A 27,550-nucleotide genomic window follows, 5' to 3' on the forward strand; every position below is an offset into this window, starting at 1 on the left:
TAGGCCTGCTGAGGCCATCCTGGCCATCTGAGTAAGGACAAAAACACTTCTGACAGAGAGTTTGGGCATTTGAATCATTCCACTTATCTCCTTCTGGCTATCCAATTGCTCATAGATGTTTCCACTCTCATTTTGGTAAGGACGAGAAATGTTCTCTAAATAATTTAGATAATCCTATAATGTTTGTATAATGGAAAGTATTAGTTTTGAAATAGCTATTGATATTTGTTTTATCAAGTTAATAGAGTTACATTGCTTTAAAAGCCAAATGTTATTAAAGAACAGACCATTTTCAACTCTTTTTTGCAATTTTCTGTTTATTTACCTCTAGCTTCTAAATAACATGCCAGTGGTTCAAACTTTTTATTCTCAGGATCCCTTTACAATCTTAAAAATCAGTGAGGCCCAAATGAGGTTTTATGTGAGTTGTAATATTTTATTTATTAATCATATTAGAATTTAAAACTGAAAAAGATTTTAAATATTGTTTATTCATTTTTAAGTAGTAATAATAAACATGTTAACAAAAAAAATTTATAAAAAATAACTACATTTTCCAAAATGAACAAAAAAACCATTTAGTGAGAAGAGTAGCATTGTTTTTCATTGTTCGCATATCTCTTTAATATCTGGCTTAATGGAAGACAGCTGGATCCTCACATTGGCTTCTGCATCCAGTTTGTTGTATTACGTTGTTTGGGTTGAAGTAAATTTTTAAAAATCCAACCTTACACAGTTATGTAGTCAGAAACAGGAGGAGTATTTTAATAGTCTTTTCAGGAAATTGTGGCTATTCTTATTTTATACCATATTAAAATTAACTAGCAGTAGTTTCTGAAAGATTTGTTGCAATGTGAAATCTGAAACCACACCAATAAACTTTTGTGCTCTGCTATACTGAAACCTACTGGTCTGTCTTGAACTTTGAATGGATAATATCACGCATTGGTCATCAGGAAAATTAGTAATGCAGATCTTCCAAAAGGTGATACATTTTATTATATAATATTTTAAAATCACATTTGTTAATATCATCACTGATTTCATTAAAAAAATTTAAGTATTGGAAAACCATAAACTTACCGTGGAGAATACAAGTTTTCCAAACTTCTAATTTTCCCTTGAAACCTCAAATTTTTTCATTCCAACAAATACTGTCAGTTTTTTTTTTACTTGAAATGTCAGGTTTACTTCCTTCAGTTTTGAGAAAATGTCTGCTGAATACCCAAGTTTGAATAACCATAATTTGTCTATCATTTGTTCTTTCAAGTTGAAATATTGTTTCATGCATTAAGCAGCTAGTTCAACCCTTAATGTAAACATCACACAAGTGTTCTTCCATATGCAACAGATTTTTATGCTATTAGTACTTATGCTATTAATATTTCTCATTTTACCACCCAAATATTAAGAACACATGGACTCAAGGTGGAGATTAATAAAAGTAATGATTTTTACTGCTTCATCAAGGACATTTTTTGGTGAAATGGAATTTTTCTTTTTCTTTTTTCTTCTTTTTTTTTTTTTGAGATGGAGTCTCACGTCGTGCAGGCTGGGGTGCAGTGCCGCGATTTTGGCTCATTGCAACCTCTGCCTCCTGGGTTCAAGCGATTCTCCTTCCTCAGTCTCCTGAGTAGCTGGGAATACAGGTGTGCATCACCATGCCCACTAATTTTTGTATTTTTAGTAGAGGTGGGTTTTCTCCCTGTTGGTCAGGCTGGTCTTGAACTCCTGACTTCAAGTGATCCACCCGCCTCAGCCTCCTAAAGTGCTGGGATTACAGGCATGAGCCACTGTGCCCGGCCTCTTTTTCTTTCTTGTTTCTTTCTTTCTTTTTTTTTTTTTAATTGCAAGTGTGGTGGTAAATGCAATAACCACTAATCAGTTTTGCAACAGTGCTTTAATTTGTGTTGCTAAAGCACCAGCAATTAGACCCACTGTGGCTTTTGCACCATCAGTGTAAATGTCAATACAATGAAAAGGCAAATAATATCTTTGTATTATATAAAAATAGTTCTGTCTTCACAGAAAGTGAACCACACTTTCAGAACCACTGTGATATGCTTCTACTGCTATTGCTTGGTTTGCTGATGTTAGCCATTTCTGCTGACTTCCTATTCTGCAAGATGAAGGGTTAGCACCCTTTAAACTAGCATTCCCCTTGCTCCTTTCTTTATCACTTCATTATAATCATCACACTGTGGTTTAGGAAACTGCTTACCTTCCAGTTACTACCTAAGTATTGTTCACTACCAAGCCTGGTAGGGTAAAGTGAATGCTTCTTTGCTTGTACAACTCTTTATTTTGATCTTAAAGTTGATGACACCATTTTTTTACATGCTTAGTTCTGTGTTTCTATTGCAAATTTGTCTTAATCCTCCAACAGATTTGTGTAACTTCTCCTAAATATTCTCTTCCATGCAGTCTTAGGTGATCCATAAGGCCCATGTTTTTCCCTAGAGAAATCCCTTTAGAAGCCCTTCTTCCTCCTGCTCCAACATGGAGCAGCTGCTGGCTCAGTCTGCAACTCAGCCTTCATTCCGGGACATTCACTAACGGCTCAGAAGAGGAGAAGTGACCTAGTGGGGAGATCTAAAAGCTCATGTTCCAAACTTGTAACCAACCTCCCTGTTTTAAGCTCTGTATCTCTTCTCCCATTGTCAGCAATCTTGTGTCTCCAAATCCCAAAACTTTCTGGGGTTCTGCTGCACAAATTGGCTTCTTCTTTGACTAATATCCCCAAGTGGGCACTTGGTTTCCACATTTCTCAAATCTCCTGGCTCCTCAACCTGCTTTCCACCTTCCGAGAGTTTTGAAGTCTTAGACCTGCTATTGTCTCCCCTTCCATTCTTTTTGTCTCTATGGTTTTGTACCTTTAAAAAATTCTTTTATTCTCATTTTAGGGGCATTTCAGGAGGGGAGTAAAGATAAACATATGTGCTCCATATGTCTTGTTTAATCGGACATCCAGTATTTGAATTTGGAACTGCACACGCTCTGAGGATTTGTTTGTACAAGCTCCTTGTGGTCTTGGTAGTTTTATGCTTTGGGAGATTTATGAACCCATTTCAGCAGCTCTATGTTCTGCTGCTGCCACAACAGAAATCAAAGGTTGCCATAGAACTTGATGAAGCAAATAACAAATACTTAGAAAATATTAACTGTGAATTTTTTCCATCATTCAATCTTTCAACAAACCCATCAAACACTTATTTTCTGAGTACCTACCATGTGCCAGGGCACTATTGTAGGTGCTGACATTGTAGTGGTGAATAAGACCAATACGGTCCTCTCGTGCACTTTGCAGTCTAGTGAAGGGAGCAAACCACAATAAAATAAACAAGTATATAAGACAATTTCAGATAGTAACAAATGCTATGAAGATAACAAAAGAGGGTAATGTGCTGGAATGACTGAGGATAAGGGGGCTATATTGGGAAGAGGGTCAGGGAGGGCCTCTCTGAGAAGGCGACATTTGAGCTGAGGTCTGACTCATGAGAAGGACCTATCTTTGTAAAGGTCTGGGGGAGGAGGGTTTCAGGCAGTGCCAAAATTCCAAAGTGGGGAAAAGCTTATGTGTTCACAGAATCAAAAGACCAACGTGGTTGGAACATATTGAAGGGAAGAGTGATGGGAGATGGGGTCCAGAAATCAGATCTGGAAAGGCAAATATGGATGATGGCCCAAATAGAGGTAATAATTGAAACTATAGGATGAGATAAGATGGCCAGAGGAGAGAGAGTATATAGAAAACTGTGGTAGGCACTGTGGATGCTTGCAAGAGCATCCAAGACACTGTCCTTACCTTCAAAACATTTACAACCTAGGAAACTGGTGAGGCAAGACACATTTTCAAAATAGAAAATAGTAAAAGCGTGTATAATCAGGTATTTGCATGACATAGTATAGGTTTTTTTTTTTTAGGTGAAGTTAGAAAATGTAACAATCATTCAGAATTGATGGTAAAATATAGCTTTGTGGAGGAGGTAATATCTGAGCCAAATTTTGATGGATGACTTATATTTGTAGTAGCTGAAAGGCAGAAAAAGAGAATCTCAGACAGAAAAAACATGGGCAGAGACTTGAATGTGTGGAGGTGACCATGACATATTTATGGAATAATGAAGAATAGCTTGACTGTTGGGAAGTAAACAGGTGAGTTTTCTTCAGTGTGCTTTAGAATCTTGCCTTATAGGATGTGTGTGGTGGCTCATTCCTGTAATCCCAGCACTTTGGAAGGCCAAGGCGGATGAATCGCTTGAGCCCAGGAGTTCAAGACCAACCTGGGAAACATAGCAAAACACGAATCTACTAAAAATACAAAAATTAGCCAGGTGTGGCAGCACGTGCCTGTGGCCCCAGCTACTTGGGAGGCTGGAGTGGGAGGATCACCTGAGCCCGGGGAGGTTGAGGCTGGAGTGAACCATGATCATGCCACTGCACTCCAGGGCAACAGAGTGAGACCCTTCCTCCACCACCCCCCCAAAAAAAGGGCCAGGCGCAGTGGCTCATGCCTGTAATCCCAGCACTCTGGGAGGACAAGGCGGGTGGATCACGAGGTCAAGAGATCAAGACCATTCTGGTCAACATGGTGAAACCCTGTCTCTACTAAAAATACAAAAATTAGCTGGGCGTGGTGGTGTGCACCTGTAGCCCCTGCTACTCGGGAGGCTGAGGCAGGAGAATTGCTTGAACCCGGGGGGCAGAGGTTGCAGTGAGTGGAGATCGGACCACTGCACTCCAATCTGGTGACAGAGCAAGACTCGGTCTCAAAAAAAAAAAAAAAGAATATTGCTGTATAAATGGTGGGAGGGAGACAGGGATTATAGCACTGAGTGGTTAGATCTAAATTACAGTAAAGATTAGCAACTGCCAAGGCTACTTAATTTTTGACACTTAGTAGTTATTATACCTCCCACTTAATTACTTTTTATTATGTTGATTAATAGTTATTATTTCAAAAAATGAAAAAATGTAAAAGGGTACACTGAGCCATCTCACTCCTATCTGTCCTTATCCATCTTGTTTCCCTTCGCCCCTAATAGCCGCTTATGATTTGCATTTTATTCTTTCCAATTTTCTTTCTGCAAATGCAAACAACACGAACATATCTTATTTCTTGCCCCCTTGTAAGGTCATTTTCACAAGTATAAGGGTGGGGTAGAACTTCCACATATCTATGGTGGGGCGACATAATGAAACCCGTAAACCCCATTTCTTATACAAGGCTAGCACCCTATATGCACTATTTTGCACCTTACTGTTAAAATTCAATTATATATCTTGGGATTCTTTCCATGTCAGTACATAGTGATCATTCTCGTCTTCTTTTTAGAGCAGCATAGTGTTCTGTTGTGTGACTGCATCAGTCCCCTGAGGATGAACGCCTGAATGGTTTACAATGTTTTGCTGCTTGAATGAGTAGCCTATACATTTGTCATTTTGTATGTATACCAGTGGATCTATAAGATAGATTCCCACAAGTGGGATTGTTGGGTCCAAGGATATTTGCATCTGTAATTCTGGCAGTACTGGCAGACTTCTTTCACAGGGTTTATGCCATTCACAGTAGCAATGCGTAAGAGTGGTCAAACATTTAGAGTTTTGCCAATCTTCTACGTGAAGAATGGAATTTCCATTTAATTTTAATGTCCATTTCTCTTATTATGCACCTCTACATTTTAAACATTATTTTATATAGTATTTTTGGTAAACTTTGGCCAGAAAACTAGGCTGTAATAAAAATTTCTAACTTCAAGGATATAGAATTAAAAGAAAATATCATAACCTACAGAAACATATTTAACGTGGGTTATTTGCCAGAGTTGGGCCACTCCTGGGAGAATATGACCCCTCCTCCTTACTCTGATGGCTCAAGTAACAGAACAAATTAATTTTCATTTAGTTAGGTCAGATAAAACTTAATAGAAAGAAACGAGTGTCCTCAACTGTACGAACCTGTATTATCTCTTAGATTCTCTCATATAAGCGAATGTAGCACTTAATGCATATGATAGGAATCAGAAAGTCATTTTAGGAGAAGCCAAGTTCCACATCAAAGACCCTGATCTTTGTTCTTGGCTGTTCCTGCTTTCTCACCAGTTTTCTCAGTTGTACCATTCTTAACTGGAGCTACTTTCTAATTTCCTGAGTGTGGTGTCAGTATGGTTTGAATACTGCCAACTCTTCTCACTGTTACAAAAAAATAATGTTATAATGATGGAGTTTTTTGTTGTTGTTGTTCTGACTTCAAATGAAGCTCATTTAAGAGAATATCTGGAGCTGTCTATGTTATTGTCTTGCATTTGAGTCATGTCCAATGACCATATCCTTTTCCCTGCAGGTGGTACTGTGAAGGCAAGGAGCTTGAAAATTCCCCAGATATTCACATCGTCCAGGCAGGAAATCTGCACTCACTGACCATTGCGGAAGCCTTTGAAGAGGACACAGGACGCTATTCCTGCTTTGCTTCTAACATCTATGGGACAGATTCGACTTCTGCTGAGATTTATATAGAAGGTAAAACAAAATGCTCTTGGAGTATGACACTTAATAGTAAGACATTTAGTTATAATAAATAAATATTTATTGAGGGCCTCCTCTACCATGCGCTCTTCTAGGCAATGAGGATACAGCAGTGAACCGAGTAGAACAAAAATACTTAGGCTCATTTACTGATAATTTACATTATATGATGGGAAAGACAGAAAATAAACAAGATAAACAAATAAAATATATGATATGATAGGTATATATAAACACTGTGAAAGATACAAAAACCAAGAAAAAGAGATAGGAATGGTGTATGTATGAGTGTAGGGGGCGGAGGAGTGGGGAATGAGCCACAAGGTCGTTTGAGAGAAATTTACTCTAGGCAGAAAAATCAGCAAGTGCAGTGGCCCTGAGGGTGGGAGTGTGCTTGTCTTAAGACACAGATATGAGCCAATGTGGCCAGGGTGGAGTGAGCAAGAAAGTAACAGAAGATGAGGTTGAAAGGTAAGATGGGGTGGAAGTGGAAGGAGGGAGGTAAGCAGATCACAAAAGTCCTTGTAGGTCATTGCAAGGACTTTGGTTTTGACCCTGAGGTAGATGAGAAGTTCTGGAGCATTCTGAGCAAAGACATGACATGATCTTAGTTTTTTTGTTTTTTGTTTTGTTTTGTTTTGTTTTGTTTTTAAGACGGAGTCTCACTCTATTGCCCAAGCTGGAGTGCAGTGACACCATCTCGGCCCACTGCAACCTCCGCCTCCCGGGTTCAAGTGATTCTCGTGCCCCAGCCCCCCGAATAGCTGGGATTACAGGCATGCGCCACCACACCTGGCTAATTTTTGTATTTTTAGTAGAGATGGGGTTTCACCATGTTGGCCAGGCTGTTCTTGGACTCCTCACCTCAAGTGATCTGCCCACCTCGGCCTCCCAAAGTGCTGGGATTATAGGTGTGAGTCACTGTGCCTGGACGATCTGACTTAATAGTCACTATGGCTGCTGTTTGAAAATATACTGCAGGGAGTCAAGGATAGATGCATGGGTACCATCTGGGAACACTGGAAAGGCATTTACATTGGCATCAGGTTTATATGATTAATTTGAGGTGAAAAAAATCAACTTATGCTCCTTTGTATCTACCTATATTTGCATTCCTATTTTATCTTATCCTCTGAATTTTGTCTGCAGATCATTCTTTAGCACTTTTTTCACCAATAATACCTTATGTATGCCTTGGTTTTAGCATTTAAACATATTATTATGGTATAGATGCCCATTTATCAACTAGATTGTAAGGCCACGACTTATTTATATCTCCAATATGTACTTGTACTAGGTACTTACATAGTACCAAGTACATAGTGAGTATTTGATAAACATTTTTTGAATAAATACATGAATAGAAATGTGTTGTATGTGTATGTGTTTTTATCCTCACATTTTTGGAGTCCAATAAATGCCTCCAGATTTAGCTGTTATATATCTTCGTGGAATGCACTATCTTGAGAAGTAAATCCAGGATCAAAGCTCTGCTAACAGTGCTGAGATTGGATTGCTGGGTTTTTTTTTTCTTTGTGACAAAAAGATTTTAAACACCCCCTCTCTCACAATGAAGTATGACTTGTTAATATTAGGACTGGACGGAAGAGCATCCACCTACACCTACAATGTTTGGAATCCAGTGTAATCCCTTCTTGTATTCAATCTGTGTAGGCCAAGAGGAAGAGGATTTACGAACACCAGAGAATGTCTGCAAATACTGCTCTGTTAGGCCAAAGGCATCAGCAGGTGTTTTACATATGTGAACGCTTAGAAGTTGGGTCAGTTAATTTGAACAGTGCCACTAACTAGACATGTGACCTTGAGCAATTCCTTCAACTTCTTAGGGCCTATTTCCTTGTTTGTCAAGTTGGGTGTTAGTGTAGTGAATCAATGAGTTCATTTCTTTTTTTTTTTTTTGAGACGGAGTTTTGCTTTTGTTGCCCAGGCTGGAGTGCAATGGCGTGATCTCGGCTCACAGCAACCTCCGCCTCCCGGGTTCAAGCTATTCTCCTGCCTCAGCCTCCAGAGTAGCTGGGATTACAGGCATGCACCACTATGCCCAGCTAATTTTGTATTTTTAGTAGAGATGGGGTTTCTCCATGTTGGTCAGGCTGGTCTCGAACTCCGGACCTCAGGTGATCCACCCCCCTCGGCCTCCCAAAGTGCTGAGATTACAGGTGTGAGCCACCACGCCCGGCGTTACTGAGTTCATTTCTAAGATTCTGTAGGTATTCAGATATTTAGGAATCAGGTAAACAAAGTATCATCTTAAAAATCTTATGTCGTGTTTAGGAACCAATTTAAGAAATTGTCATCTTAACAATCTTATGTCTTGTTTTTATTTTTCCAGGGGTTTCTTCTTCTGACTCAGAAGGCGACCCTAACAAGGAAGAGATGAATCGGTAATTCTGATTTTCTGTCTTATAGCTTTAGCATCCTCAGATCAATTAATAGCTCAAAGAGAATGATTAATTGGTTACTAGAACTTAAGAAGGGTGGCTCCAGGGTTTGACCACAAAAATAAATAAATAAACAAACAAACAAACAAACAAATTGAGTGGATTTGAAGAAGACCCTACTTTTGCTTAAGTCTTGCCTAGCAGATAAATTTGAATCTTTCCAATTTACTCCCTACAGAGGATGAGCTCCTTAAGGGCAGAAATCCTTTGTTCATGCCTACCTTGAAATGATAATTTGCTTCTAGCTTTTGTGCAGATACGAACATTCATAACCAGAGTAAATGACTCCTCTTTTACCCCCTTCCTATATCATTCTCGTGGCCTTGAGTCAACTCCTCCTTCTCTCCTGCCTTTTATGCCAACCACCTCCTTAGAGGGCTTCCTGTCTGCTTCTGCCTTTTTCTCTCTTTTATAGTGTCCAAACTACGACCAGTTATTCTCTAAAAGAGATCAAGATTCTGATCCTATTGTTTTCCTGACTCAGAAAAAGATTATCTATGAGAAAACAAAAATCAAACACAAAACAAACAGCAACATTTAAAAAAAATCTTAACATGGCATACATACAAAGCCTTATTCAGTAGAGCATCAACCAGGTTTTTCTGTCCCCTCCTTCCTTCCCCACCTCAGGCTGTCTACATTGTTGACATCTCACCCAAATCATGTATAGTTCCTCTTCACTCCTTTGTTCAAGCTATTCACTTTGCTAGGATTGCCCTATCTTCTCTGTCTAGCAAACTCTTATTTGTCCTGCAAAACCCAGTCTAAATGTTCTTTCTCTTTGAGCTCTGTAATAAACTTCTCCCCTATTGCACACGCATCACTGCTTCCTTGTGGCTCCCATAATGTGTTACAAACCTAAGGGGTATGAATTTTGATCTATAAACTTAAATAAGCAAGAAATATCCCATTTATTTATTTGCTTTAAATCTACTTGTAGTTGTTGGGATTTAGCCTCCGTTGTGTATCATAGAGACTCAAATTAACTGTGACTTAAATGAAACAGATATTTATTTCTTATTTACATACAAATCTGGATTTGGTGGGTAAAATGACCCCACATTCCACTAGGTTCCTCTGTGCTTCCTGCTTTCTGCTTTATCTCACACTAAGATGTTGCCCTCGTCTTCTTAGGCTAAAATAGAAAGAAATAAAGGCTTGTCAGCCTTTTAAGGTCATCTCTCTTAAAATGCATATACCACTATCCCTCATATCCCATAACCAGAAAGTACCCATGTGGCCACACCTAGCTGCAGTGAATTTTGGGATATGTAGTCTTTATTTGGAGCAATCATGTAAAGAAATCAGGTATTCTATTATTGTAGAAGAAGAAAACAGATGCTTTGGATACACGGATTGGCTTTGCATTAGCACATCATTCTGCTTGAGACCAAATGCTGCCTGGTTAGGGAAAACATCCAGTCTGGTATTGAGTGTCACTTTCCCCCTCACAGTTTTACAATGAGCCATAGAGAGAGAGAGCAGTTTTGGAGTAAGCACCATTCTAAACACATTACATGAATTATCTTATTTAATCCTCACAAAACCCTATGAGATAAGAATTTTTTTATTATTTATTTGTTTATTTTGAGACAGAGTGTTGCTCTGTTGCCCAGGCTAGAGTGCTGTAGTGCGATCTCAGCTCACTGCAACCTCTGCCACCCAGGTTCAAACGATTCTCCCACCTCAGCCTCCCAAGAAGCTGGAATTACAGGCACACGCCACCATGCCTGGCTAATTTTTTTGTATTTTTAGTAGAGATGGGGTTTCGCCATATTGGCCAGGCTGGTCTTGAACTCTTGGTCTTAAGTGATCCACCCACTTCAACCTCCCAGAGTGCTGGGATTATAGGTGTGAGCCACCGTGCCCCCTCCGGGAATTATTATTTCCCCATTTTAGAGATGAGGAAGCTGAGGCAAAGAGATATAACACCTAGACCAAAGGAAAGCCCTCTCTCATCCAGTCATCTATCCATGGGTTACAGGTGAGAGGCCCATGTCCCAAATCCCAAGTTCTCTTCAAGTCCAGAGCTTGTTGCTTTCTGACGTGTGTAATTACTGATATCTTTAACAAGACTGGGAGCCGTTTACCGAGAGAGATGGCCTTCCCCTCTGGACGTAGGTTCTCCCTGGGGTCAGGTTCTCTGGCAAGATCCACAGACCTCTGTCTCTTCCACAACAAAACTAAAATAATCTCCCCTCTGCAGCCTTCTCAAGAATACTTGCTGGCTCTCTTGCCCTTCAAATACTCTCTTTAATTTAATTTGTGTAAACTTGAAAAGCTTGTTGACTTCATGCCATTTCTACTTTCTGCCATGCCAAATTCTCAGAGGTTAAGTTTTATATATGAGAGACCCTGTCTTGGATCAGAGGTATAGATTTAAAAAGCCTGGCCTCTTACTTGAAATGGGAGGGGGAGGGAAAATACCGAGGGTAACAACAAAACAAATCTCAAAAAATTACCTTCTGCACATGCTTCCATCACTGCATTTGTCTTGGATCTCAGTTAACTGTTAATATGTTTGACTCCCTGGCTACACTGAGAACAACGGCCCAAGGACAGGAATGGTGTCTTATGCATTTTCGTGTTTGCATTGCCTAACAAAATGTGTAGCAAAAATGCCCTTGGTCAACGTTTGTAAAATATCATCAAACCAAGATTTTTATTACACTCACCTGTAAGCAGTGATGCCATTACTAGTTTTCCTAAAATAATTTTCACAAAGAGTGATAGGTCTATTTTATAATCTATATTTTAATAATTTCTCAGAATCCAGAAGCCAAATGAGGTGTCATCTCCTCCCACTACCTCTGCAGTCATTCCTCCAGCAGTACCCCAAGCCCAGCATTTGGTGGCCCAACCTCGTGTGGCAACCATCCAGCAGGTACAAGAATCCAAGCGAAACACAAGTGCCATCCACTGTGACAGACAGTCATGGTGACCATGACCATCTTGCATGGCATGATCGTGTTTTTCTCAGGTGCAACTCCATCATCAGGATAATCACCTTGTATTTCTGATGTTTGAGAGCAGTGGTTCCTGTTGCTTTGGGAACATATTCTCGGGCTTCAATAGGCAAATTTCTGAGGAGAAGAAACGCTTTACAAATTAGTCCCTGGCTTTTCAGCTTTATAAAGGGTGCTGATTACATATGCAGTGAGCTGTCAGCTCTCAGACTGGCCTAGAACAAACACTCTATATCATAAAACCTGATTAGTTTCATGGAGCTGCAGAGAATTCCACTTTCTAAGACGAAGCAAGCATGTAGTTATTTTTTAGAAAACAGCAAAGGCTCTCATCCTTCAAGTTAATAATAATGATACATGCTTATTGTAAAAACACTTTAAAAGTACAGAAGTATGCCAGGTGTGGTGGCTCACACCTGTGATCTCAGCACTTTGGGAGGCCAAGGTGGGAGGATTGCTTGAGTCCAGGAGTTTGAGACCCGTCTGGGCAACATAGCGAGACCCTATCTCTACAAAAAAGAAAAAAAAATTAGCCAGGCATGGTGCCATGCACCTATGGTCCCAGCTACTCGGGAGGCTGACATGGGATGATCACTTGAGCCTGAGAGGTCAAGGTGACCTGTGATAGCATAGCTGCACTACAGCCTGGGCAACAGAATAAGACCCTGTCCTCCCACTCCCCCCCGAAAAATGTATTAAGTAAAAAGCTTAGTCAAGATTCTACTCCAGTGCCTTCACTCCTCAGAGGTACTTCATGTTAGTAGTTTCTAGTGGGTAGTTCCAGGCATTGTCTATGCATATAGAAGAATACATATATGTATGCATAGACTTTAAAACATATGAAGTCATACTATCTAAATATACATATAACATGTTATTGATGTATTTCTTTTATATACATATTTTTTTTCTGTTTTTCAAAAAATTATTTGTAGAGACGAGATCTCACTGTGTTGCTCAGGCTGGTCTTGAACCCTGGCCTCAAGCCATCCTCCCGCCTCAGCCTCCCAAAGTGCTAGAATTACAGCTGTGAGCCACCATACCCAGCCTGATATATTTCTTTATTGATGATCAATGTATTTAAATATATTTATCTACAACCTCTTTTTAAAAATTATCCAACCCATTTAGTAGTGCAGAGGGGTCAAGTTTTAGTTCTAATCCATTGGTTTTCAAACTGTGATCTGTGTAGCCCCAGGGGTTCTACGGAGCCTCTTTGGAGGTTTAGGGTTAATGACATAGATCCACAGATCTACATGTGAAGGGGTGGCGTGGGGATAGGCAGCACATATTTTATAGCCACCATGACCTAGAGAGAAATAGAGTCAATTCAGTCTAAAATTTGAAGTCTGTGATTCATAAACTTAGAATACATCAGTTTTTTGGTTTGGGATGCATTTCATATACCAAATTCTATAGGTTTGTTATGTCTCACTATCCATCTAATAATATTAGTAACAATGAATTTACTGTTGCTTCCCTTCTACCAGTGTCAGAGCCCCACCAATTACTTGCAGGGATTGGATGGAAAACCTATCATTGCAGCTCCTGTGTTTACAAAGGTAATAAAAATATTACTTCTTTCTGTCATGGCTTTAAAGATACCACAGCACCCAAAGTTATAGGATACAAGATTTATTCATTTTTATCTCAGGATTTGGTCTTCTGTATGTACGGTATAGGGTTTGGGTTGTTTTGTTAGTTACTACAGTATCGCTTCAAGTCCCAGATTTCCAATAACAGTTTTAGTAATGAGAGAAATGTCTTTCCCTCTTACCACACTAATCTCTGTGGCCATTATACAACTGTTCAACATAGGAGCCACCCCTAGAGGTCAAGTGATAAATTTCTAGCCACATATTACTCCAAAGGTTTCTCTGAATTTTTAGAAAAATTCAATTGCAGGTACCTGGCTTAGGTGCTCAAGGAGATGGAGTTAAATGCTCTTAGGAGGTTTAACATAAAGCCTCCCTCCCTCTAGGACAAAGAGCTTTCTTTTTCTATTCCATAGTATCAACTGTTGAGGTGGCATCAAATTCTGAGTCTCATAATCTTTGTACTTAGCACTAGAAAATTTAGTCAAGCACATTCATTTACAAATGAAAAACCAAGGGAGGGCCAGAGAGATGAAGCCATGTAGCCAATGTCACAGATCCAGTTAGTGGCAGAATCAGGACTACAAACAAGTTGTCCCAATTCTCAGACTATCAGACTGTGTTTATATGTTGCCCAAGCCAGTGAGTGTGAAGATGAAAAAATGGAATCACATTAGATTTTATGGTATTATGAGGACCAAATAGGCAACATCTATGCCTGGATTTATTGTTTATTGTTTGTATGAACACCAAACTTAGGCCCAAATAGATTTTATCCTCTTTGAAGTATGCTTTGGTTTAGAGCAATGGTTCTCAATCATGGTTAATTTTGCCCTTCAGAGTCATTGGCACTTTTGTTGTCACAGCTGGGGGGTTGCGTTCCTGGCATCCAGGAATGGTGCTAAACATCCCACAACACATAGGATGACAGCCCCCCACAACAAAAATTGTCTAGCTCAAAATGTCAACAGTGTTGAAGCTGAGAAATCCTGGTTTGAGCAAAATGGAAAAAATGGGCTATTTTTCTAGTGAGTACTGATCCTTAAAGGAATAGCTAAATCCACAGCTTCTACAGAAGCATCCATTTCATGGGAGCTCTGCTGTATCAGATCATTCAAGATGGTTTTCCAAAACCCAGAGTGGAGTCTAGAGCGAACAACCATGTTTACCAATATCCATATCAGTTAGGCAAACATTCTTATGTGAAACAAGATGCCTCTCAATTTTTCAAGTTCAGTTCATAACCTACATTTGAGATTTTAGCTTTACTATTTTCAAAGTCTTGAAGTAGGAGAGCAACATGTTGTGATTTGGTGGATACAAGACTTTGATGAGGAGTTATAGGTGGACCTTTATGCGGGGGGGTGTATGTGTGTTTGTAACACAGCTAAGAGAGCTACTTCTTATTGTCTCTTATCATCATTGCTAAGTCATCTAACCTTAAAACAGTGATTAAGTGCCACAGACACTTTAATTTATCATGCCAGTTTGTCACACCTTAGAGACAGTGCTGACTCTTCAAAGGCAGCTAAACCACAAGATAGTTTATACTCAGTCTCAGCTAAAGTCTCCCCCTCTCTTCCCTTCCTCAACTCCATCTGCCTAGACAGACAGGTGACATCAGAGGGATATCAGGTAATATCTCCACTCAATTTGAAATCTTCCTAGGTACTGTGTCTTCCCTGCATCTATGTCTAGGAAAAGAGTCCAACTCTGTAAAATAGTTGGAAGAGATTTATTCTCAGCCAAATATGAGTGACCATGGCCTGTGACAGAGCCCTCAGGAGATTCTGAGAACATATGCCAAAGGTGGTCTGGGTACAGCTTGGTTTTATACCTTTAGGGAGACATGAGACATCAATCCGTACATGTAAGATGTACATTGATTTGGTCTGGAAAGGCAGGACAACTGGAAGTTGGGCCTTCCAAGTCATAGGCAGATTCAAATATTTTTTTGATTGGCAATTGGTTGAAAGAGTTATTAACAATAGAAAGGAACGTCTGGATTAGGATAAGGGGTTGTAGAGACCAAGGTTTTATCATGCAGATGAAGCCTCCAGGAGCAGGCTTCAGAGAATAGATTATAAATGTTTTTTATCAGATCTTATCAGACTTAAAGAGTCTGTTTTATCAGTAATTCCAGGAGGGTATAATGAGGCATGTCCCCTTCCCATCATGACCTGAACTAGTTTTCAGGTTAGCTTCAGAATGCCCTTGCTGAGAGGAGGGGTCCATTCAGATGGTAGGGGGCAGGCAGGGGAGGGTGCAGAGCGGGTGTGCGCTAAGAATTTCATTTTTGGTTGACACATGTCACCCAGAGCATACCTCTGGCACGTTTATCATGACAGTAAAGCTGTTTACCTTTCAATCTCTCCCGTTCACCTTGAAGACTATCTCTAATAACTAGATAGGAGTCCATAGAGGCAACAATAGGTAAAAAGTTGTTATTATTTTGAAAAGTCCAATAGGACTTTAACATTTATTTATTTGTTTGCTTGTTTGTTTTTTGAGATGGAGTTTCAGTCTTGTTGCCCAGGCTAGAGTGCAATGGCATGATCTCAGCTCACTGCAACCTTGGCCCCCCCGGGTTTAAGCGATTCTCCTGCCTCAGCCTCCAGAGTAGCTGGAATAGCAGGCGTCCACCACCATGCCTGGCTAATCTTTTGTATTTTTAGTAGACGTGAGGTTTCACCATGTTGGTCAGGCTGGTCTAAAACTCCTGACCTCAGATCCGCTCACCTCAGCTTCCCAAAGTGCTGGGATTACAAGCATGAACCACCACACCCGGCTAACATTTATTTTATTTTATGTTATTTTATTTTATTTTATTTTATTTATTTTATTTTATTTTATTTTATTTAGACAGAGTCTCCCTCTGTCACCCAAGCTGGAGTGCAGTGGCATGATCTTGGCTCAGTGCAACCTTTGCCTCCTGGGTTCAAGCGATTCTCATGTCTCAGCCTCCCAAATAGCTGGGACTATAGGTGTGCACCACCATGCCTGGCTAATTTTTGTGTTTTTAGTAGAGACGGGGTTTCACCATGTTGCCCTGGCTGGTCTGGAACTCCGATCTCAGGTAATCCGCCCACCTCAGCCTCCCAAAGTGTTGGGATTACAGGCGTGAGCCACGGTGCCCAGCCACATTTATTCTTTACATTTAATTTTCATGAGCTGATTAGAGCCACAGATTGAGCTGCCTTTGTGTGGTGATTCTGATTAGCTCCTTCTATTAATAATTAGATGCTCTGATTGGCAGATGCATATACTTTTGATAAATAAAAATAGGAAAATGAATTAATCATTCACATACTTTGTTTGTTAGATAAAATATCTAAAAGAAATAGCTTCATGGTGGGAAAATGGTCCTTAGTACACAGACCCAAACCCTGACGAGGCTTTCTCAGCCTCGTCAGGATATGTGCTTTTGCCTCCATAAATGGGTTAAGGATTGTTCAGGCATTGGGCACTAGGATAGGCAGTGGCTCAGATTCCAGAAAGACTTATCAGCAATGATGTGCTTGCGTTAGTTTCCATCAGTGAGGGCAGGATTGAGGTCATAGTCACTGCCAGTGTCATTAGCAAATTTCTGAGTCAGAGCCACCAGTGATGGATGGTATCATGTGGCTATGAGCCATGATAACAGATTATTTGCATATGTTTGTTTGGCTTCTTCCTGCCCTATTTACTTGTTTAGGGACTTCTGGCATTCCATTCCCTGTGACTCACTTTCTATACTGCCCAACAAAGCATTTCTTTGCCAATCGTGGCAAGAAGCCAGTTTTTTTTTTTTTTAAAGCAACGCTTAGCGAGCAGAGTTTTATTTAACTCCTTCCTCTGCTGGTGACAGCGAAGTACTTATCTTCTTTTAAAGAAAGTTAAAATGAAAAGGAGAGTAGCCCAGCAAAACAGTGGTAGAATTTGAGAGAGGACTGTGGGATTCCAAAACTAGTTCACTACTCTACTCATAGGTGATACCTATGTTTTTAGATGCTCTTTAACTGTGGATAGAGATAGACTATCCTCCATCCTCTACGCAGTATCAAAAAAACTTTTGCTCTGTTTATGCAGGGAAAACAGCACTCACACTTCTTGAATGTGAAGGGAGGTCGATGATCAAATTAGAATCTTACTCCTATCACTGCTCCCACCCCAGCAGCAGCTGCTCTGGCAGGCTTTCAAGGCTGCAGCAGCCCTGGCCCCAGCTGCTTCAGCAGTAATTTGAAGAGTGCAAGGGGGCAGGGGAAGCGAGAATTTGAAAAAGAGCACTTCATTATATAACAGCAAAGGCAGGAAACCCTGAAATAACTGGGCCGGTAGTGGGATCCAGATTTCTGGAGTTCATGGGCCCCTCTCCCCATTCAATCAATTCTGGAGACTTTTCTTACTCAATGATTGCATGGGGCACTTGTGACAGTCAAGGGGCAAAAGAGCTTTCAATCAGACAGTTCTTTATCAGTAAAAACCACTTTGATCCAACTCCATCCTAAAGCACTGTGCACTTGCAGCATCTTCCAAGGTGCAAAATTATCAACTGGATTGAAAAACAAATAAAATGGCAAAACGAACCTTGTAGCTGACATCTTTTAACCAATAAGGCAGATGCTGTTTCTCAAGGATGTCCCAGCATTATGTTTGTGGTTATAGATCTACTAAGCAAGAACTATATCCTTTCAACTCACGTTTATAGCAGTGGGCATGGTGCTGGGCACAAAGCAGGCACACATTTATTCTGTGGCAAATAACTTCCATTTCAGGCCAGGCACGGTGGCTCACAACTGTAATTCCAGCACTTCGGGAGGTTGAGGCAGGAGGATCACTTGAGGCCAAGAGTTCGAGACCAGCCTGACCAAGATGGCAAAACCCCGTCTCTAACTAAAAACACAAAAATTAGCCGGGCATGGTGGCACTCGCCTGTGGTCCCAGCTACTTGGGAGGCTGAGGCAGGAGAATCACTTGAACCCAGGAAGTGGAGGTTGCAGTGACCCGAGATCATACCATTGCACTCCAGCCTGGGTGACAGAGCAAGACTCCATCTCAGAAAACAAAACAACAAAAAACAAAACAAAACAAAAAAAACCCTTCCATTTCAGCTAAGAAGAAATTATTATTTTCATTACTTTGTGACTTCAGAGTATCTTTAGGAGGAATAGAGAAAAAAAGTAAAATGTCAAATGGCCATGGAAGAAGACAAGCTTCCCAAGTCTCTATGTTGTCAAGTCACCCTACAAAGAATGTCCTCCCAGATGACCAGTTTAGTGATGCCACACAAGATAGATTTGCACTTTGAATACTGCATACCTGAGGAGGTTGTAGATCTTTGGTTATAGTGACTTTAGCCCAGACTCATAATTCCTAGAAAAGACTAACTTAATCTTTGCTAGTTGGAGACTGTTTGGTCTGTCTCATTTGTTGTCAGTGAAGCTGAAATGATCAAGTCTGTACACCCCATGCCATTAGTAACCAACAGCCTAAGACCTACTGTTGTGATGAACGTGATGACAGCTACACTATGTTCTAATAGGGTAACTGGTTTGGATCCTGATCTGTGGCAATGTGAGCCAGCTCTTTCTCACGAAACTTTGTAGAAAAGCAGCTTTCAGCAATAACAACCATCCTCATCCTTATAACTATGACTCTTAACAGTTTTCTAAGTGGCTTGTGAGATGACCCTTGGCACCTCCTTTACTGAGTATTGATGATGTGCCACACTGGAATGAGCTTCCATCACAGACATTAGGAGGCCCATTCCATACACTGTAGTATCTCACATAACTAGGCTGGGCTCTTGAATAGAACACAAGTCTTGCCCTTTGATGTTAAATGAATAACAACCAACTGATGGTTTAAATTGTGAGCAACATATTTTCTCAAGGAGATCCTTTTGCAAGCAGGGCTTTTGTGTAATCTCTGCAGATTGGGAACTGGCTCATATATCTGAGCTCAACTTTAGGCCATGTCAGAGCATATTAGATTGACCTCATTCTACTGTGAATGTACTGTTTCATTTACTCAACCCCTTCTGCCACCACCACCTTTTTTGATGTTTGGTTTGGCTTTCTAATTGGTTTGCCTCAAGAAGGAATGAAAACTTTATTATGTATAAGCTCCAGGAGGGTGTCTAAGTGCCATTAAAGTTTTCAATGGTCCCCAAAGCTGCCATTTGAGCACACAATTTGCTCAGAGGTCAGGGTGGAGGACATACTCACCAGTTTGCCGGGAGCACCCAAAATTCACTGATGCTTCCTGTTTTCCATTCTTGTCGTTAGTAGATGTTTCGGGAAGACAAATAATAACAAGATTTTTCTGTCAAATAGTTCTTTATTAATTCAGAAACCACTCGGTGCTAATCCCATCCTGAATTACTTCAGCAAACAAATTTGGGACCTCAGAAAGAATAAAACACTAGCATTGAACTACAGCGCCTCCTGGCTGTCACAATATCAATGCATAACATCCCTGAGGTGAAAGTCTCTTACACAGCTAATGCTATGTGGTTTTCCCCAGCCCCATATTCTCCTTAGGTAAATGCTATTAAGTACGATAGGACCAAGTACAGAATATCATAAGTTGTTCAGACAAGAACTGTAAAAAATAACGAAATATTCGTAACAGCGAATGACAAAAGAGAAAAAACGATTGGCTTTCCCCTTCTCTGAAGCAAGAGCCAGTATTTCCTAAATGCAGGTCCAAAAATTGTAATAATAGAAATCCATGCAGCATTTGTTGCTTACAGAGTTTGTGGAGGAAGTTTAATTGTAACCTTTTTTATGCTTACAGTCTTTGGGCCAAATGAAAAACAAAAATATGCCAATACATGTGCCGAAAAAGCATTTCATAATCACATGAAGTGCCAACTACAGAAAAGAATGTATTGTTTTCAGCTCACAAACCATGATGAATAAGAAACTAGCTGTGAAAAAATGTGCATTTTATTATCTTCTAGAGTCTAATACAGAATACACTGATATCTTACAATTCAAAGTGGTCTTTCTAAACCTTTCATTGTGGGAGTGTGGAAAAGCATTTAATGATTCCTTCGCAAATTTACAACGTATTTTACAATGACATTGACTGTATGTGTGACTAAGATTTTATAAAGATTGTGATTGCTTTTATTCCTCAACAGATTAGTGAGCCTATCCTGTAAAGACCACATAAGAAAAACAAAACAGCACAATGAAAATCAATTTCCAGGACTGCAGAATGTAAACAAGGCAAAGCTAGGAAGACAGAACCAGTTACTTGGGCCATAGAACCCTTCCACATTATGAGCAGCCACATTCTTTTGTGGACTAATACATCACTCCTATGTTGAACACATCTAGTAGATACTCACTGCAAATTTAAATATTATTATTATTTCTGGAAATCAAACACCACTTGGGCACTTAAGAACAGAGGTACTGAGGCCGGGTGCGGTAGCTCAAGCCTGTAATCCCAGCACTTTGGGAGGCCGAGGTGGGTGGATCACTTGAGCCCAGAAGTTTGACATCAGATTGGGCAACATGGCAAAACCCTGTCTCTACAAAAAAAAAAAAAAAAAAAAAATTAGCCGGGCGTGGTGACCTGTGCCTTTAGTCCCAGCTATTCAGGAAGCTGAGGTGAGAGGATCGCTTGAGCCTGGGAGGTTGAAGCTGCAGTGAGCCATGATCACAACACTGCACACCAGCCTGGGAAAGAGAGTGAGAACCTGTCTCAGAAAAAAACAAACAAACAAAAAAAAACACCCCCGACCAATAAAAAAAAAACCCAAACCAAAACAACAACAAAAAAACCACCCCAAAGACACTATATTAAAAGTAGCTATATTACTCAAAATGTCTTGCCTAATATTTAATAAATTTACTTAGCATTGGTAGAGAGAGAAAGGAAAACAATAGCGAGGGAAAAGCTTTATATAGGCTCAGATGATTCTGTCTTCAAACCTACTTTTAGGATGTGAGGGTGATCTGGCTGTGACATCTGTCACCCCATTGATGGCCAGAATTAATTCAGCTGATCAGGCTGGCTATGCGGGTGCCCTTTTTCTCCCTCATTGTTTCCATGTGCGTCCCTCCTGAAGCTGTGCGCTCAGTGGAAGAAGATGACCATCCCTGATAGAGGAGGACCAATCTTAGGTCAAGGGCATAGGAGTAGCCACGCTCGCCTGCTAGAGCCTCCAAACAAGCTCTCAAAACTACTTTTGAATGCACATCCACAGAACTGAAGCTGCTAGAGATGTAGATGCTTTGGAGAAAAATCCAAATATGGAGACGGCATCTTTTTCTAAAATTCAACACCGAAACTAGATTACAAAAATGTGTACTTTTTTGTTCTAACTACATTCTTCTTATCATTATAGATGCTACAAAATTTGTCAGCTTCTGAGGGTCAGCTGGTTGTCTTTGAATGCAGAGTAAAAGGAGCTCCATCTCCTAAGGTTGAGTGGTATAGAGAAGGGACTTTAATAGAAGATTCTCCAGATTTTAGGATTTTACAGAAAAGTAAGTTAATACTTTAAATTATTTTCTGATATTTTGTTTTTATGAACTTATTGTACACACTTATTTTTATAACTTTTTAACAACTAATTAAAAATATAGTCAAAAAGAATAAAAAACACCTGTAATCATACTCCTGTTAATATTTCAGTATATGTTCTCCAAGAATTTTTCCATGCATAGTTTTTAAAGAAAAGCATCATATTCTTTTTTGTAAATTAATTATTTACTCAACATTTAATGAACACCTTTCCATGTCCATAAACACAGAGCCTCCTTACTTTTTTTTTTTTTTAGATGGAATCTCACTCTGTCACCCAGGCTGGAGTGCAGTGGCACGATCTTGGCTCACTGCAACCTCCACCTCCTCGGTTCAAGCGATTCTCTTGCCTCAGCCTCCCCAGTAGCTGTGAATATCTACAGTTATTGCCTTGGAATAAATTTCTAGTATGAGAATTGCTGCTATAAATTTACCTTTTTTAAGGCTTTTAAAATATGTTGCCAAAATGCCACCCCAAAGGGTTGAACTAAATTTAGGATGGTCACACAATTAATCAGCCAAAATGAGATCCTTTAGGGGAGTGAAAGAGGATGCTATTAATAATTATACAGGGATCCCAGGCATAAACTAGGTCTGCCCCAGTTGAACTGGGACACACGTCGCCCTAGCTATATCCTACTACAACCAACAATACGTGGGAATGCCTTTCATCTCACACCTTCACCAACAATGAGTGTTAACCATTTTATTAAAAATCTTCACTAATTTTATAGGCCAAAAAATGGGAACACTTGTTTTAATCTGCGCTTCACTAATTAAATCTGGGATGAAACTTTTCTTTTTCATATTTACTTAAGTCTTTGTATTTCTTTATTTCACATTGGGTTCTTGCTCTTTTTTATTGTAAGAATTATTTAGAAATTTACATGGTTAATTCTTCTTTTCTTATCGCACAATGCTTTCACCTTGTCATGCAGTGCTTTCTCCTTGACCCATTTCAGCCATAAACTACATTGCAACATACTTGCTTTTTAAAAATATGTTTTATTAACTATGTAGAGCAATCATATGATAGAAAAACTTGGGAAAGAAATTTGCTAAAATGTTGGCAGTCTTTCTCTGGGCAGTGAGTCTAGGGTCAATTGTTTTACTTCCTTTTGCATTTCTGTATTTTTTTAGTTTTTCCATAATGAACATATATAACTTTTATTTTTTATTTTTTACATTGATTGATAAAAATTTTACAAGTTACCATGTACAACATGATGTTTTGAAATATATATACATTGTGGAATGGCTAAATTGAGCTAATGAACATACGTATTACCTCACACACATCATTTTTTGTGGTGAGTTATTTGCTTTTTTCTTAATCTTTTTCTGCCTATCACAAAATAGCAGTCTGTAGATCAGTGTGACATATGAATCAGAGCTACTCTCAGGTTTTATTGGTAGTAGCAGCAACAATAATATATTCTGAATGCCATTTAAACTGAGAGATGCCGGGCACAGTGGCTCACACCTGTAATCCCAGGACTTTGGGAGGCCAGGCCAAGGCAGACGGATCACTTGAGGTCGGTAGTTTGAGACCAGCCTGGCCAACATGGTGAAACCCTGTTTCCACCAAAAACAACAAAAACAAAAAAAACCAAAAACTCAGCCGGGTGTGGTGGCACGCATCTGTAGTCCCAGCTACTCTGAAGGTTGAGGCAGGAGAATCACTTGAACCCAGGAGGCTGAGTTGCAGTGAGCTGAGATCACGCCACTGCATTCCAGCCTGAGCAACAGAGTGAGACCTTATCTCAAAAAAAAAAAAAAAAAAAAAAAAAACAGAGAGAGAGAAAAAAAAACTTCAATGGGTCTACCAGTGTAGAAGATTAAAACTAAGTTCAACAACTACTTTTTGAGTGTTGGCAATTCAATATCAATCAAACACCTGTATTCAGTACCACCGTGGGCACTTTCATGAAGCCCAAAGAATTTTAAGATAAGATAAGAACCTACTCTTGGCTGGGCATGGTGGCTCATGCCTTTTAATCCCAGCACTTTGGGAGGCTGAGGCGGGCGGATCACGTGAGGCCAGAAGTTTGAGACCAGCCTGGCCAACATGGTGAAACCCCGTCTCTACTAAAAATACAAAACTTAGCTGAGTGTGGTGACAGGTGCCTGTAGTCCCAGCTACGCAGGAGCCTGAGGTAGGAGAATCACTTGAACCCAGGAGGCAGAGGTTGCAGTGAGCCAAGATCTTGCCACTGTACTCCAGCCTGGGCAACAGAGTGAGACTTCGTCTCAAAAAGAAAAAACCTACTCTTGAAAAAACTATGATCTATCTTGAGGCTCTTAATCTTAGAAACCTCAGAGCAGGAGGTATAGTGTATATTTTATTAGGATATCAGAGCCCAAAGCCAAGAACAATCTCTCAATCTTCACAAACCTTTTTCAGGTAAGGCTGAATGAGTGCCAGTAAAAGCAAGAGTCATTTCTGAAATATAACTAACTCACAAACCTCCTTGGCTAAGGTTTATGTATCCCAAGTGAAACCCAGATTTATTTCAAGAGGAAGCAGTATCATTTAATTGTTGCTCTTGGGCAAGGCACAGTGGCTCCTGCCTGTAATCCCAGCACTTTGGGAGGCTAAGGCGGGCAGATTACCTGAGGTCAGGAGTTCAAGACCAGCCTGGCCAACATGATGAAACCCCATCTCTATCAAAAATACAAAAATTAGCCAGGCATGGTGGCACATGCCTATAATTCCAGCTACCTGGGAGGCTGAAGCAGGAGAATTGCTTGAACCCAGGAGAATTGCTTGAACCCAGGAGGCAGAGGTTGCAGTGAGCTGAGATCGTGCCATTGCACTCCAGCCTGGGCAACAAGAGTGAAACTCAGTCTCAAAAAAAAAAAAAAAAGTTTTTGCTCTTTTGCTGCCTTTCTGTAATATCCATCCTGTCCCTGTTGAGATCATCTTACTTAATATTGTCACATAATCTTATTGTATCACTCCTGAGTGTGCAAGAGACTGTGAAATTCTATAGGAAGCTTCTGATGAACATGTAGTTTCTCAGTAAAATAAATGCTCAGAATCTTTTACTTTCTTTTCTTTTAGAACCTCGATCCATGGCAGAGCCAGGTAAAGATGATTTCAACTTTAATTTATTAGTATATGAGTGATTTTATATATACAAGAATACATAATGAAGTTACACTGAGATGAATAAAAAGTGAAAAATAAAGTTTTAGGAAAAAAAGATCCAAATGGGCCGGGTGCAGTGGCTCATGTCTGTAATTCCAGCACTTTGCGAGGCCGAGGCGGGCGGATTACTTGAGATCAGAAGTTCAAGACCAGCCTGGCCTACATGACAAAATGAAACCCCATCTCTACTAAAAATATAAAAATTAGCCAGGCATAGTGGCGCACGTCTGTAATCCCAGCTACCTGGGAGGCTGAGGCAGGAGAATCACTTGAGCCTGGGAGGTGGAGGTTGCAGTGAGCCGAGATCGTGACACTACAGTCCAGCTGCGCGACAGAACAAGAATCTGTCTCAAAAAAAAAAAAAAAAAAAAAAACATCCAAATGAACTATAGCTATTATTGTAGGAGGAAAGGAGGGGTGCATGTGCAAATCTGGAATATATATTTAATACCTCACATGAATGCAGCTGGTTCTTGGTTATTGAGAAGTGTTTCTTAGGAATATTTTTCCTCCATAAATGGCCGCCATTTGAGCCCTCTCAAAACTAGGCAAAGCAATTTTTATAATGCTAGGTCAATTTCATTTCCATAGCCTAGGTATCTCAAAACTTATGCATCATCAGATTTTGAAGCTTGCAGAGATTCAATAAAATATCTGTGATGTTATTAGATTTGGTTGGGAGGATACTACGACGAGATACAAGTGACAGTAGGCGAAGTTAGAAAATACAAGTCACTCACAAAACAGGGCATAAACATCTGAATGCCCTCTCTGTGACCACCTGGAAAAATCAGATTGTATTTGCAACCCTGTGACAGAAAGCTGGTTTGTGATCTCATTATTATAATTCTCTCTTCAGGCCGGGCATGGTGGTTCACGCCTGTAATCCCAGCACTTTGGGAGGCTGGGGCGGGTGGATCACCTGAGGTTGGGAGTTCAAGACCAGCCTGGCCAACATACATACAACCCCATCTCTACTAAATTTACAAAAATTAGCCAGGATAGGGTTTTTAAGGGTTTTGGAGTGGGTTGAAGAGCGGAGATCACTGGTTGGTTAAAAAGTGTGGGGTGAAGTCATGGGACAGGGAGATGAAGAAGCCGGGTTCTCATGCTGATCTCGATCCTCTGTGGGGGTCTTCAAACTAGTTGCTGGAATTCATGGCCTGAAAAAAATGTCTTAAGAGATCCTTAAACAAAAGCCTTATGAGGCTGGGCACAGTGGCTCACACCTGTGATCCCAACACTTTGGTGGGAGGATTGCTTGAGCACATGAGTTAAAGACCAGCCTAGGCAATATAGTGAGCCTCCCACCTCTACAAAAACTCAAAAATTAGCCAGGCATAGTGGTGCATGTCTGTGGTCCCAGCTACTCGGGAGGCTCAGGTGGGAGGATCACTCAAGCCTTGGAGGTGGAGGTTGCAGTGAGCCAAGATTATGCCTCTACACTCCAGCCTGGGCAACAGAGCAAGACCTTGTCTCAAAAAAAATAGAAGCCTTATGATTCTAATGTTAGAAATCCTGTCTATAGCAGCTGGGTGCGGTGGCTCACGCCTGTAATCCCAGCACTTTGGGAGGCCGAGGCGGGTGGATCATGAGGTCAGGAGATCGAGACCATCCTGGCTAACACGGTGAAACCCCGTCTCTACTAAAAAAAATACAAAAAATTAGCCCGGCGTGGTGGCGGATGCCTGTAATCCCAGCTACTCGGGAGGCTGAGGCGAGAGAATGGTGTGAACCCGGGAGGCAGAGCTTGCAGTGAGCCAAGATCACGCCACTGCACTCCAGCCCGGGTGACAGAGCAAGACTCCATCTCAAAAATAAATAAATAAATAAAAAATAAAAGAAATCCTGTCTATAGCAACAATGGGGATGCAAATCAATTCTTAAACAGTCTTATGATCCTAATGTCAGAAATCCTATCTATAGGAACAAGGGGATGCAAATGGTCAGGATCTAGTGCTACGTGACTTTTAGTGACAAAGGAAGTGGGTCAAAGTGCAGCCTGATTAATGCTTAACTATATTTCTGTCCAGAACCTAGTATGCAATTCTTGTCAACCCTGTGGTTATGGTTTCAATATCACACTGACTGGAATTGTGTGTCTCAACTACCACTTAACAAGAATAGAGTTAGCTTGACTGGCTTAGACCAGTCATGATTTACCATCTGAGGCTGAGAGGAACCAGCTTTCTTCAGAACATATGACCAATCCAAGTAGAGTAGACAAAGCCAGGGTTCTATCAACAAGGAGGTAGGAGGATGAAGAGTTACTGAGTAGGTACTTGCTTGGTCCACTGTGTGCTGCTGTGACCGAATACCTGAAACTGGGTG

At 40.4% G+C, this 27,550-nt stretch overlaps 1 protein-coding gene, 1 long non-coding RNA gene and 1 pseudogene across 14 annotated transcripts in view; 2 read left to right on the forward strand and 1 right to left on the reverse strand.

Annotated features, from left to right (window-relative positions):
* The window catches only part of MYPN (myopalladin), a 124,121-nt gene that overhangs the window by 48,700 nt on the left and 47,871 nt on the right, over nt 1-27,550 (forward strand). For 8 of the 12 annotated variants that reach the window (NR_045662.4, XM_047425879.1, XM_017016834.3 and 5 more), the window contains 6 exons: nt 6,344-6,519; nt 8,879-8,930; nt 11,757-11,871; nt 13,444-13,515; nt 21,890-22,031; nt 25,133-25,156. Coding sequence is in view for 10 of the 12 variants with exons in the window: in XM_017016834.3 (XP_016872323.1) it covers nt 6,344-6,519; nt 8,879-8,930; nt 11,757-11,871; nt 13,444-13,515; nt 21,890-22,031; nt 25,133-25,156 (581 nt within the window). In the remaining 2 variants the exon portion in view is untranslated. Of the gene's footprint in view, nt 1-3; nt 4,156-6,343; nt 6,520-8,878; nt 8,931-11,756; nt 11,872-13,443; nt 13,516-21,889; nt 22,032-25,132; nt 25,157-27,550 lie in introns of those variants that run through there. The other 4 variants (NM_001256268.2, XM_047425878.1, NR_045663.4 and 1 more) reach the window with 4 other exon arrangements.
* Nucleotides 10,043-21,633, reverse strand: LOC107984240 (uncharacterized). 2 transcript variants are annotated; one of them, XR_001747479.2, is made up of 3 exons: nt 21,478-21,633; nt 19,755-19,803; nt 10,043-10,122 (listed from the first exon to the last, which is right to left on the reverse strand). It is a non-coding gene; the product is annotated as an uncharacterized LOC107984240 (long non-coding RNA). The 2 variants fall into 2 exon arrangements; XR_001747480.2 differs by lacking the exon at nt 10,043-10,122 and adding an exon at nt 11,848-12,070.
* On the forward strand, nt 21,483-21,812 carry RN7SKP202 (RN7SK pseudogene 202; annotated as a pseudogene).

The sequence above is a fragment of the Homo sapiens genome, chromosome 10 (genome assembly GCF_000001405.40).
Source record: "Homo sapiens chromosome 10, GRCh38.p14 Primary Assembly".
Taxonomy (NCBI): domain Eukaryota; kingdom Metazoa; phylum Chordata; class Mammalia; order Primates; family Hominidae; genus Homo; species Homo sapiens.